Source organism: Homo sapiens, chromosome 5 (assembly GCF_000001405.40).
Source record: "Homo sapiens chromosome 5, GRCh38.p14 Primary Assembly".
NCBI classification, from domain to species: domain Eukaryota; kingdom Metazoa; phylum Chordata; class Mammalia; order Primates; family Hominidae; genus Homo; species Homo sapiens.
In genome coordinates, this window is record NC_000005.10 from 11,562,012 (window position 1) to 11,576,807 (window position 14,796).

General features: G+C 37.2%; 1 protein-coding gene across 11 annotated transcripts in view; it reads right to left on the reverse strand.

Moving 5' to 3' along the window:
* The window catches only part of CTNND2 (catenin delta 2), a 932,611-nt gene that overhangs the window by 590,176 nt on the left and 327,639 nt on the right, over positions 1-14,796 (reverse strand). For all 11 annotated transcript variants that reach the window (NR_109988.2, XM_017009074.2, XM_017009072.2 and 8 more), the window contains one exon: positions 2,933-3,045. Coding sequence is in view for 9 of the 11 variants with exons in the window: in XM_017009074.2 (XP_016864563.1) it covers positions 2,933-3,045 (113 nt within the window). In the remaining 2 variants the exon portion in view is untranslated. The remainder of the gene's footprint in view (positions 1-2,932; positions 3,046-14,796) is intronic.

Here is a 14,796-nt window from a genome sequence, read left to right on the forward strand (position 1 = left end):
GCACTCCAGCCTGGGTGACAGAGCAAGACTACATCTCAAAAAAAAAAGAGAGAGAGATCTTGGGAATCAGATAGGTGCAATTCCTACCACCATTAAAGTCAGAGTAAAACTGAAGTATATTTATTAGTCATTTCTACCTCTTATATACAAATATGTCTGGCAGTTGTGACTTGATTTTGTTTCTTTTCTCCTAAGAAACTCTTTTACTCACTCGCTAGTATCATTAAGAGGTATGAATCAACATCGAAATTACCAGACTTTTAAAATAGCCCTCTTTTTTTAAAAAAAAGTTGACGTTCTATTTTTGTTTAAATATCCCTTTTGATGTGCTAACTAGGTTAGTCTATCACCTTTAATGAAAACTTGAATTTCTAAAGGTGCATTTCTAAAGCCAAGAAAACAAGTAGGTTATGACAAACAAACAAACAGTGGAAGTGATGCTATGCATCAACTGTTCTCCAGAGAAGTATCAATAAATTGCTTGTAGTTATACAAATGCAGATGCATACATTAGAGATTTCCAAAATACAAAATAATTAAGCTTGATGAAGACTGATATTATATATGGCAAAGGGAAATATTTAGGCAGTGTCATCTTCACTCAACACTATTATTTAGTACAGATTTAAGACAGATTTATTGATTATATATCATAAGCTGTAAGCTAGACATACAAGACACAGTGTAAAGAACCAAAAGTTGTCATGGTATCATTTTTCTGTCTACCTTGGAATTAACTGATGTATTTTATTCAAGACACTTTGGATGTAATAAATGAAATCAACTTGAGATGAATCAAATCAAATGAGGAAAGAGGACAGGTTTTAAGAAGGTATCAGGTAATGTCATGAATGCAACATACATGAAACGTACATTAGGCAGCCAGTCCTAATGAAAACTATACGGCTCTCACTGACTTTCAGGGCCATATGGCTTCTCTGTTTTGGGAGGCTCACTGTTACCACAGAGTCCTCCACTAGCACACAAGCCACTATGGCCACCATTGCCAAGCACCCACTATTGTATGTCACAGATTTTGGCTTGCTTATTTCATATCCTCCAGAGTAAGAGCCCATATACTCACAGTCTGGTCAGGTCCATTTACAATACAACCAGGAATTGGAAATTGATTCACAGGTTACTAAACAGTTCCCTAGACCCATTCCTATCAGGGGCTGGAGTTGCATGAAACCATGTAAAAGGTATACAACATGGGAAAATGTCACACAGAAATATCAGGAACATGAACTGAAAAGGTAAACAGACCAATAGTGAAACAAGAGGCTTCAAAGCCAACTCGACATCAAGTCAATGGTGCATATGGACCTATAAAATCTGGCAGGCTTAGCTTTTCAAGTGTTCAGCTTTAATAGGAAGCTCTTCATGTATATAAAATTAGATGGAGTAAAGCAAAAATACACTTAAAATTATTATTTTTCTCTCTCCCTAAATTCACCACCTTCAATTAGTCCAACTTATAAAACCAACTTCAAGTGAATACAGTTTACTTTTTGTTTTCATTATCCATCCTGCTTTGGTTAATCTGGATGTTTAGGCAAGTCTGTGATGAGTTTAATACACCATGATGTACGTATTTGCAGCAACATATACATTTGGATGCAGAAGCAGATGCTTTCACATATCCTAAATAAGGTTTTATAATGGAAAATAATATTCCATCCACGTGGTTAACCCCGCTTAACAACAGAGAGTGCAGTGCTTTCTATTTAAAGAAAAAAAAAACACTAAGCAATGTTAAAAAGTTTAACAGCATGTGACTCCAATACGAAATGCTGCAATTACAAAGTTATACTCTTACAAATATAAAGTATTTTGGAACAATGAATACAAAGACATTTTTATTCTTTTGTGGCAGCAGGTAGCTAAGAGTCAACCAAACTCATGTTCCTACTTCTGCAGAGTGGCTGCTGACCCCAGGACTCTGCCCCACTTCCATCGATGAGAGGTCATGTGACTGAAATTCACTAATGAACTCTGAGTGCAGTGATGCAATTGATGATGCAATTCAGGATGGAGCCATAGGGGATGGCAAGGTCATCAAGTTAGAAAGAGGGCGTGAGTCACTATATGGAGAAGAAGTAGGCTTAGTTGGCTACCTTAGAGAGAAACAAACTACTATTGTGTTAAGTTCACTGCAGTATTCACTGCAGTTTATTTGCCATAGCAGCCTTGGTTTTCTCCCTAAAAATGTAGTAGAGTGCCAAAAACACACCATCTAACAAGAGCGTTTTTGAGAAATGGAAGTTAAGCCTTATGTCTCTTTCACACACACATGCACACATACACTTACATTTTCATATACGAAAGCCTGGTTCTAAGGAGGATAATTTTATTTTGTGGTCAAGTGGCTAAAAAGTTATAGGCTTTAAAAAATATATATTTCATAATCTCAAACTAATCACTAATTGAATAATCATTTATGTTTATGAATGAGGAAATATTTTTACACATGGGGAACTGCACGTGTGGTTGATCTTCAAGGGGCAATTTCATAACTTAGCATTATGTATTAGCAAAAACAATACTGGTTCCACCAGAATGTTCTCACTTTTATTTCAGGAACCTGGAGCTCTGGATCATTTACGAAAAAAAAAAAAAGTCCCAAACTCGGAGACTGTGACTTGGCATCTCCTGATTTCCAGCAAGCTGGCTGAATGCAAAGCCTTCCTTTGTGTAAAATTACGTATAATTTGCATTCAGGGCAGGCATTAATTTTGTTAAAAGAGTTTCAAATACAAATCAGGACATTTTGGACACCTTTTGAACATCTTAAATCAGGTCAGTTACAATTTCTTTCCAACGTTTGACTGAATGTTCCAATTCCACCACCGGGTTGGAAAGAAGAGAAACATCACGATTTACTTGCAGGGGCAACTCAAAGCACAGACAATGAACAGAGCGGCGCTAGTACCTCATGCTGCTCATGCTGCCAGTCTCGGATCCGAGCTTGCATCGCTCCAGCTGGCTGGCTACGATCTGCCGTTCAGCCTCCAGCTCTCGGGTCAGCCTTTCAAACTGTAATTCCTGAAAGAAACCCATCAACAAGATCAATTCAATCATCTACATGACAGGTGAAATTCAGACCAAAATAATAGGACGGCTGAGGGAGAAAAATATGATTTTCCAAGATGTCAAATTTGAGAAATGTGCAATAAAACTAGGATTCGAAGGTTAGACAGGCTTGTGGCCCACTGGCCATGCAACTTTGAATAAGTTAATTCATGTAAGTATCAGTTTCATCATTTGTAAAACAGACTTAAATACTTATTTAATAAGATGGATATGAGGATTAAAGGAGATACTGTCATGAAAAATTATCCTGTGCTATCTTTGGCAGACGGTCAGCACCCAACAGGTACCAATACTCCTGATACCACAAGTATAGCATTTAATGAGAAAAAGAGTTCAGTTTTTAATTATCTTTTGGAGTTTTGTGTTTATTCCCTACTGGCCTTCTGGCCAACTCTATAGTGTTTACTGCTTTCTTCATATTACTTATATATTGTAGATTGAAGAAAATAATGCTTTATAACCCACACTCTTCATAACTTTGCATTCCAGCAGAATGACAATGATACCAATTCTACACAGCCTCATTACTAAGTACATAACCTTTGAGATATTTGATATATCGCCTTAAAAACAGACAATTGAACCAATGAAAAATGCTTCTACAAAACTGCCTCAAATCCACTGTTGAAAACTTTAATGAATGATTCAATCAGTACTTCAAAAATCTCAGCTGTTCCAACAACAGGATTTTGTACCATATTTTACTACTGATGTTTTCTTTCCTCATACACTTAAGTTTTTTTAAAAATGAAAATAACCAGAGCAAATCATGTATTTTAATAAGGAATGGCAGGGAAAGTTTTTACAATGTCACATTTAATACCTTTTAAAAATAAATTATCTAAACAGTTATGTTTTGGGGATAAGAAACAAGAATGCTTTCTCATACTGAAAAATAGCTCAGGAGTCAGTTTTGGAGAATTTAAACTCAAAAGGTTGCAGGGATATATCTTTCCAGAAAATAAGATTTTATTTACTTGCTACCCCAGGACACTCTTGCATGAGGTCTTTAAAAAGTAGAATCTGGTGTGTCCCCTATATACATTAAAAATATCCTGGCTCTTTTCCATAGGTGCACATTTTAATATTGACATTATTTTGGGAAACAAAGTAAAAGACACTTTGTAAATGAGAGCTTAATTTTCCCTTTAAGGTGCTGAAACTGAGGGAACATTTTGTTTTTTAACCTCAAACTTTTATTCTTACATATTCTGAAGGGCATCAAAGTATTATAGTTAAGAAATTAACAAGATCTCGGCTGAATGTATTTTATGCATCTAACTTCTTCTTCTCTCTTAAAGTCCTACTGCTTTTTTTTCTTTCTGGAAATCCCTTTTCATAATATCCAACTTTTAGAAGATTTTTTCACTTCTAGACTTCTTAACGTATTGCATCTTAAATCTCTCTGTGAAACAGGAAACTCACCCATACTTTTAAGTTGATAACACTTTTAAAAACATAATACTTGAAGACCATACAGAACTCCTCACATGTCGATGGAAATTCATTCTTTGTAGCATCTAAAGTACTTTGATTTGCTGCCCACTTTCCTGTGTTACCGAAGTTCAACATGGTGAAACAGTGCAGTATTTGGAGTCAGAATTCATCAACCAGGGGCTTCCGCTAGGACGGATGTTGCTCTTGGTCATCCCCGCTTCAGGTGGTGACTTCTCCATGGTTTCACCTCTTGTCAGTCTCACAGGAGGGGTGACAATGGGAGATGACTTTCTCGTTTGCAAGCTTCCTTCCCAGCACGCAGTCAGATTTTCCAAGACTCTTCATCCATTCATGTAGATCTGTATTTGCATCTGGCTTTATTTTCCTTCCCTCTGAAAGAACAACCTTAGAGTTGTTATTATGGTGCAGTTCTTTGGGTAAAGAAGTCTTCCAGCTTGACAGGCCTTCAAAAGGTATATATGTGGTTCTCATTTTGGAAGACGTTTTTGCTCTGTCATCCTCTTGTTTGCACTGTTTCTAACACCACCACCACCACAAAATACAGTTACCCTTAAATTTATTTCTCTATATGTCTATAGTGTTTATTTTGTATTTTTTTATTTTTTTTTTAATTGAGATGGAGTCTCGCTCTGTCGTCCAGGTTGGAGTGCAGTGGCACGATCTCTGCTCAGTATATAGTGTTTCTTTTTAATTTTTCTCTGCTTTTAAGATTTTCTCTTTACCAGAAGCACTGGGCAATTTGATGATTATGTTGCTTGGTGTAGTTTTCTTCATGTTTCTTATGCCTGGGTTATTCAGCTTGGATATCTGGCTTTATAGATTCCAGCATATCTGAACATTTTAGGCCATTATTTCTTTATGAATTGTTTTTCTGTTCTCCATTATTTCCTTTCCTTCAATGACTCCAATTAAGTGCATTTTAGGCCACTTGGAATTGTCCCACAGTTCATGGATTCTCTTGCAATTCAATTTTTTTTTTCCTTTTGTGTTTAATTTGGGTAGTTTCTATTGTTGACTTCAAGTTAACTAAGCTTTGCTTCTGCAATGCTTAACCTACCATTTATCCCATCCAGTGTATTTTTATATCAGACACTGATGAATCAAACATCTCTAAAAATTTCATTTGGGTCTTTTTTGTATCATTCATGACTTTATTTAACTTTTTGCACATGTTGATTATACCTATATTAATTATCCTTTTTGTTAATTCTAACATCTGTGCTAGTTTCAGCTGATTGACTTTTTTCTCCTCAATCTGGGTCATATCTTCTGCTCCTCTAGACATGTAATCATCTTTCAACACAGACATTTTCATTTTACTTCTTGGGTTCTGGATAGGTTTGTATTCCTATAATTGTCTTCAGCTCTTTTATGAAGCACATTAAGTTATGTGAAAGCAATTTGATACTTTTGAGCCTTGCTTTTTAGATTTGTTAGGGGGAGCAGAACAGCATGTAGTCTAGGGCTAATCATCCTGCCCTATGAAGGCAAGACACTTCTGAGCCCCAACTCAATGCCCCATGGACTATGGGTTCTCCCAGCTTGGCTGGTGGGTGCTGGCAAACATTCCCACCTCTGTGTGAGTACCAGGCACAGTTTCCTCACATCCTTTCAGATGGTTCTTTCCCTGGTCTCTGCTAGTTTCCTTACATACATGGGCTGCTAAGTTGTTTGCTGAATATGAGAAAGGGCACCTTGCCTTTCTGATATTTGGACCCATGAACTCCCTGGACTCTCAGCACTGTCTTAACTACTGAGACCCTGCTAGGCTTCCTCCTTTCTGCACTGCTGTGTGGAAACTCTCTCAAGGCAATCATTTCCTACCTTACCCCAAGCCAAGGGTCTATGGCTTACAGGGAAAACTGTTTGGGCCTTGCCACACCACTGAGGCTAGGATCTGTCAAGATGTAACCACCCTGAACTGGAATGGTATTCTCTTTGGAGTTGATAACTGAGCTTGTGAATGGAAACAAGAAGAGCTAGAATGGAGGTTCTCTAACTTGGAAAGACTGACTGATTTTTCAACTGAGGATTAATTTTTCTCCTTGGTATAGACATTTTTGTGGCCCAAAGGCATCTAGAGAAGACACAGCATTTTCACAAGAATGGATGAGATTCTTTTGCACTGGAGGATACTTAAACTGTGGGGTAAATGGAAAGATGACATTATCCATCTCTAACACAGTTTGGGGTTTGAGGGAGGACAGACCTCTCAGGAATGAATAAGCTGCTGAGTTTCTTGGAAAATTTGAGATGAAACAGCATTCAAGAGAGGGATGTTGCTAATAAGGGCAGGTGAGTATACAAGAAGTTAACTGGAAAATTAGAACTATGTGAATATATTTACTGAAACTTGTAATTCTGGTTATAAGTAAATATGTAGTACTAAACTAATTCAGCAAAAGTGAGACTGTCAAGAAAGAAGAAATATCTCTAAAGATTATCTAGATTTGCAGAATAGAAGAAACAATAGAAGCCAAGATAATAAATAGAAGAGTAATTCTGGGGTAAAGGATCACTAGTATGGCCTTCTCCTGGGTAATTCTGGTGGAGATGTGGTGATGTAAATCAGGCTGCATAAAATGTAATACAGAGACTGCCCAGAGACATTAAGATTTCATGGGAATTTAGAGTACCTGGTGGTTTAGAGAGGACATCCAATGGTAAAAGAAGTTATAAGAAAAAGCAGAGCAGTGTTAGAAAGCCTAAATCTCCCCACTATGTGGAAATCAACTTATGTAAGAGATCATAAATATTCATAAAAGTATTGGAGATATGATGCAAAAGTTCATTAAAATGTACAAAGAACCAGATTTAAATGGTTTCATCCTAGAATAGCACATTATTGAACCATATAATACATTAGGATTATTATAAGAAAAATTATCAAACATTTTATAACTTTTCCTAAACAGCCTAAATTAATGATTTATTTGGTTTAATTAAATGGAGTTTATTAAATGTTTTTAAGTAGATAAAAGCATGTAAAGTCTCTTGGGGGGACTTAGCTAACTTAGTATGAAAACTGAAATCAGAAAACTCATCGCCATAGTTTCATTACTTCCCTCAATAAATATGTTACTTAACTTTGTGGTATAGCATTAGTTGGGATGGTATCATCCAGATTTAAGGAAGTATAAAAATGGACAATTGTTAAGTCTTAACAATATTGAGGCTTCTTCATTTCTATGGTCTAAATGCCTGTGTCTCCATCCCCTGCCCAAGATTCACATGTTGAAATGCTATCCCTCAAGATGAGGGTATTAGGAGTTAGGGCCTTTGGGAGGTGACTAGATGAACCAGGAAGTGGGCCCTCACCAGACACCAAATCTGCCTGCACCATGATCTTGTGTTTCCCAGTCTCCAGAACTGTAAGAAATGTTTCAGCTATTTATAAGCAATGCAATTTATGGTATTTGGTTATAGCAACCTAAACAGCCTAAGACAAGATGCACATACTATTTTTTGCACAGTTTCATTTCCATTCACATACAACATTTTGTTTTCCCTAAGTTAAGAACTTGGAGTTTTTTGTTCCTTTGCTCAGTTGTCTATGGACTTATCAAACCCCAAACTCCTCCGATTTGTATAAAACTTCTCTTCACACAAACATATGAAATAATATGTCAACTACTGAAGAAATCTCTCCTGGAGTTTTTGACCTGCTCCAATCTGGCCTGGCTGCCTTCTTTGCACAGCTGTCTTCTGGGATCTCTCTCCATCTTCAGGCGGGAGATTTCCTTTGTCCCTCTCTTCCGTGGATTCCTGTCTCCTCTATGAGTTGTCTTCTTCATTCTCCTACTTTATTTCCTTTTCTGGTAGAAAATGTCTTTCCAGATACACAGAGATAGAGAGAATGAATGAGAGGTATTATGTTCTGACACTTTGCACATCTTTATATGTTTTTATTCTACTCTCACACTTAGTGAATAATAGGACTTAGTAAAGAAATAGAGAATTCTAGGTTGGAAATCATTTTCCTTCAGGGTTTTGAGACAGTGATTTTTTGCTTCATTATCTTCTACTCTCCAATGTTGCTGTTGAGAAGTGTGAAAACTTTCAGAGGTTTTCTTTTCTTTTTTCTTTTTTTTTTATGAAATCTGCTTTCACTTTCTCCCAGAAAACATGTTGTATGTGGTGACATATCTTGATATACCTCTATTTTTAGACATGTTTGCTGGATATTTTGTGATCTATTTATTTAGGGATCTTTCGATCAAAAACCTATTGTTTATTCTAAGCAATTCTTTTGAAAATTTTTAATGCTTTTCTCCTCCTTTTTAACATTACTCTTGCTTTTTCTTCAACTCTCATTATTCAGATGCTAAAATCTAGTCCTCAAGGTTTCTTCCTTTAGTCTTCTTCTCTTGTATTATTCTGTTTCTTTATCTTCTGTTTTACTTTCTGAAAAGTTTTATCAATTTAATCATGTAAGTCTCTAATGAATAATTCATTGCTATTATTATGCTTTTAATTTCTCGGAGCTAGTTTTTATTCTCTGAATATTTCTTTTAATTTGCATCTGGTATTTATTCTATGGATGTAAAATCATCTCTCTTCTTTCTCCACAGTATTAATGTGGTCATGTTTGTTTTCTTCTCTCTGCATAGTTCCTATTTTATGATTTTTCTGTTTGTTTTAAATATGTATTTTTGAAGGTATCTCAACTTCCCTGGCAGTCTGCTCATATGTGACTGTTGGGGTGAAAGAGCTGACACTTGTATGAGCGCCAGCATGAGTGAGGCTTGTTAGCTGTGCCTTCCAGGAGAACCACTGTGTGCAGAACATCATGCAGAATCCCCTGAAAAGGCTCTTCCTAGCTCCAGCTTTGTGCATAAACATTTGCCTGCTCTTTTTCCGCAAAGCTAAGCAAGATTGAGGAGGGGTGGGTCTCAAAATTTAGCAAGTAAAACTGTATTCAATACCTCACTTTTAACAGTTTTTCTTGTGGTCCCTGCGTCAAGAGAATTAATTTCACCCCTTCCAGAGAAAAAGCCTCTAGTTTTTGGCATGGTGGGGTAGGGGATTTGGAGATCTAGCTGATATCTAAATTAGTGTTCAGCCAATCTCCGGAGCTTACCACTATACTTCATGCCCCATGCACCCACACCCCGCACCTTCGAGAGATTTTCCTGTGTAAATTGGTCTACGATTTAACTCACCCCCCTGCTTAGAACTCCATTCCCTTGGGTATAATAAGTCACTTCCCACTTTGTCCATCTACCTTCTTTCATCCATTCTAAGTCACACATTTTTCACACTTTAATATCTCTGGGTTTACCAGCTCATGAATTGGGATGACTTGCATTTGATAGTGTGTGACTCTTTATTGGAAGTACTGTTGCTTTCTTCACAGTGCTTTAAGTAACCCTAAAAATTGATGGCCTCTCAAACTTGATGAAATATGGTTCTTTATTTACCCACTCTCTATGTTTAGGGGGTTATAACCCCTTTTAAAAGTCTTACTGCCATTTTGGCAAGGAAGCAGGGGTTAACACAAGGGTTCAGTGCATCTTCTTTATTTGGCAGTCAGATCATCTTTTAAAATAACTTGGCAAGCTCAGGGCAAAGAAGGACAGGTCAGAGCAGGAGTGAATCTAAAACGCCCCAGGTCTTTGTGACATCTGCTGAACCCCTGAGCTGGAATATTCTAGTGGCATAGGTTGGTCCCTCTGCTCTCCTTCTAAGCATAACCATATCCTACACCAAGATGCTGATCATGTTCCTGTTTAGAAAGATTTAAAGAATGTCTGAAGTCCCATACTTCAGGTTTCGGTCAACTTTCCTGCTGTGTCCTCTATTTCTGAAATTTGGGTTCATACCTAGTTCTATTTTGAGCAAATCCCTGGGTCAATAATACAGAGAGAAGTCCTTCTCTAGGCCTGGGCCTTTACAGAAGCATTTTGTTGACTACTCAACCTTCTTGGGGAGGATGTTCTGCCTCTCCACACCTGTTCCTGCTGGTGGCTCCACTGGATGGTAGGTTGGGCCTATTAGATGACATCCTCCTGATACATCCCTCTGCTCCACTTCAACTTCTTCCCTCCTCCTTTCCTACGACTGACCACTAGCTAATATACCCACTGGCTCCTGACAGAGTCTCAGCAAATTATCTATTTCCCCCAGTGGCCCGCTACAGTCCCCATGCTTCATTCACTATCCCTATGTCTGGCCCATCCTGTCTATAGATGAGACCTGGTTCTCAGATGCACAAATGCCACCACGATCGAGTTAGCTGCATGTAAAATAAGAGAATGAAACAGCAATTCTGTATTTCTTCTGCAGCTAAGATTGAATGGTTTTATGGAGTCTGACTTAGTGACAATGTTTGCAATAATAGAGCAAAATAACCACTCAAGTGCTCTGAAGTATTTAATTAGAAAGCAGATTTCAGTCATTATCATTGTCTAAACTTTTTCCTTAGATGTTCTACCTGGGAGAGGATCAAGGTACAGAACTGTGGTTTCTCTGTCCTAGTTTCCCACTCTGGGTTAGACTGCTTGTTACAGTTCCAGCTAATCTTTGGGAAGCTACTTAACATCTCTAAGTCTGAGATGTCCCCGACAATCAAATGCCTACCTTATTGAGTCAACATTGGAATAAATAAGTTAATACATGTGAAGCACTTAGCAGAATAAGGTACATGATAAGTAATTGCTTAAAATATTAACTGCCATTATGTGCTGTTATCATAAGTAGATATGATAGTATCACCACTCTGTAGGTGAGTTCTTGCCGCCTGGTGTCTCTCCTCTCTGCACTGACCAACAATTAATACCATTGAGTATGCCTGGGTGATCTTTTTTCTTACATCACTTTTAATTCCCATTTCACATGAATGAGTTGACTCTACAGCCACGTCTCTTGGCAATGTTAATTTTACCCCACTGAAACATGTTGCCAAGCCAAGTTTGAAGGGGAAGTGGCACAAATGACAGGGTAATAATTGGAAGCCTACAGCAGAGTGTCCAACAAATCTGGACAGAACAAGCCATGATGTCAAGATGGAATGGAACAAATCAATGTCAACTGTAAAGCCGTGTACACCTCATTGGTGAGTCAGAAACTGTGGCAAAGAGCTGTCTGTGAAAGTTTACAAAACTGACAGATTAATGTTTTCAACAACGACAGTGTCATCCTGGGTTACCCAGCAAGGCAGCAGATGACAGGAATCAGAACTTGGAAATGGAATCATAAGCACCTTTCCAGAACACATTCAATAAAATAAAAATATAACGAAACACCTCTTTCTCTCCAACTCCTTCATTCTGCAGTGTTCCATCTGCTTTTGCTCTGCCATTTTCTCTTGCCAAATGCCTTGTTAGCCAAATAAAGCATGTTTAATACAGTTTATTTAATTCACTAGCTGACAGGACTCCATGAAATTAACAAAGGCTACATGTCTTGGTATTTGAAGATGATGTATAATTCCATTATGCTTAAAAAATTAGTAGCAATATTATATGGGTGACTCTAAACTCTATCACAATAATCTCTAGAACTGTTTAAAATGCCTGGGTCCATTCCCCGAGAACTGAAGACACAAATGTGGAGGCAACAGAGCCCAGCATGTGCATTCTGAAAATGTTCCATTAGTGATTATTATGCTCATATCTGCTTGGGGATGACTATTCTACTTATGATAACAGCACATAATGGCAGTTAATATGTTAAGCAATTACTTATCATGTACCTTATTCTGCTAAGTGCTTCACATGTATTAACTTATTTATTCCAATGTTGACTCAATAAGGTAGGCATTTGATTGTCGGGGACATCTCAGACTTAGAGATGTTAAGTAGCTTCCCAAAGATTAGCTGGAACTGTAACAAGCGGTCTAACCCACACTAACAGTTCAGAAACCCATTGCTTCCAAGCTCTAGGAATATTTATTTCCACTGTTTTAATGAAGGCTATATAATCAGGAACAATACAGCAAAAATAATAGCACAAATTTCTTTAATGAGGAAGAACTATAGCTCATCATTTCACACTCTCTTTTATTTTAGTTTTCCTCGCCTGCCTGGAAATAAAATATTAGAATTATTATGTCCAACCACAGAAAGAATTATACTTATTGTACTGTTCAAGTTCACACTACAACTGAAATAATTCCTTCAAATAATGGCCCTTAACTTTTAAGAGGAGCACTGCCAAACTCAGATATACCAAACAAGGGCAATGAAGACAGAGAGGGGGTGTACACCAACATCTTTGCCTATACTTATACCACAATAGAGAAAGCAGCCTTTCTATATTTAAAGGGTGAAAGACAAAAGTACCAGAATCCTAGCCTCAGCCAAAATCGATGACTTGCATTTCCTCAAATGGACTTTGCATGTGTTCAATCTGCATTTATTCACTCATTGCTCCAAATATCCATTTCCTCTTCTCTATCCTTTCCTTGTTCCTCAAGTCTAGCAAAAATGCCTTTGCCTTTCAATTTTACAGTGATGAATCACATTACTTCATTTAATTGCCATCTGTTCTATATATATGCACATTTCTGACCTCACCCTCAATCTCAGCACCTGAGAAGAATTGTCCACCACTCTCATAGCACTAACAACGCTTTCCTGAATTCTGTTATTTACATTCCTGTCTCCTCTCCTGGACCATATATGCCTTGATGACAGGCACCATGCTTTTGCATTATCACCTTCTTCTCATCTACCATAGAGTGCTCTCAGTACATGAGGAATAGATGGATGAGTGGATGGATGCCTTACTTGACCTCAACAAATAATGTTTGCATCCATATGAGAAAATGTGCAATAGTGAAGAGCAAACTCAAACTATCGATCTGGGAAAATCTAAAATATGACATTAGATCACTTTTATAGCACTTCCAATGCAGAATTTCTGTTCAATGATCTTTTTCCATGAATTGCTCCCTCACTCTACCTCTCTCTCCCCTCTACTCTCTGTGTCATCATTGTACATCCTTTGTATAACTAACCCGTTTTAGGAATAATGTTTTTCAGAACAGAAATATTTGAGTGACAAAGTATGATGTTTATCCTTTCTTACTCAATGCTCTTTGTTGAAACTTAAATAGCTAAATATCCATATCAATGGAATAATTATACATGCTCTTATCACCAAACATCATGTACTCGACTTGACCTGGTAACAGCATTTTACTTTGTTGGTCTCCTGTTCCTTCCCGCACAAACTCTTCTGATGGTTTCTGACACACCACCTCCTGCTTTCTTTCCCACCTCTTTTGCTGACCCTCTCATTTTCCTCTGTGGCTGTCTCTTCCTCTCTTAAGCCACCATTCTCCTTGTGATTCTTATACTTTCTCTGAACAAGCTCATCCATTCCGAAAGCCTCAATGACTAGTTCTTGGTGTTTATCCACTGACATTCATTCCCAAAACCAAGAGGTTCACATCCAAAACCAAAATCAACCAAATCCTACAAACCTACTCCCACTTCTTCATTTTCCTATCTCACAGAACGACAGCATCATTTGCCCAAGTTGCCTGATCCACAGATTTGCAAATCTTTCTAGACTCTGTCCTCTCCAGACATACATAACAAATCATCTTTAATCTGCCGAGTGATGCACTAATACCACTCCAGTTTTGGCCACAAGTATCTCTTGCCCAGATTCCTAAACTCAGTATCCTAATTAATCTCTTGCCCTGTTCATACTTGCTTTCAATCTGTTTTTCAAAATACAGCCAAAATTTTTCATGAAAAATAACAAATGTGATTATGTTACTCATTTATTTAGAATATTTTAGTGAATCCTAATTTCCAAAGGATAAAAATTAATTTTTCTTAACATATTAATCATATAAAATATAGTTAAATTACATACAATTAAGATTAAATAATTATATATAAATATATATAATTTTAAAAGGTTACTTATTACAGTACAGTTATATTAGAAGATGACAGCATCTTCAAAGTTATGCTCCATTTATTGGCCACCAAGAAATGTATGTAAAACTTTTCAGAGTGAGGAAGAACACTGTTCTGACTTTTCAGAAAAGCATCAGTAGATACTTGATTTCTATCAACCTAGCTGCAAAGCTCTCTGTCCAAATTGTGAAATCTACATTAAAAAAAATAAACTCAGTCATAAAATTGACACTTTCAGATATTTTTATCCTACATCATTACATGGCAGAATAATCCATTTTCTCATCATTTACCTCCTTCCTAGCAGAACAGTCTGTTTTCTCATCATTTGCCTTCTTCCTAACCTAAAACGTTCTAATGAATTTCAGAG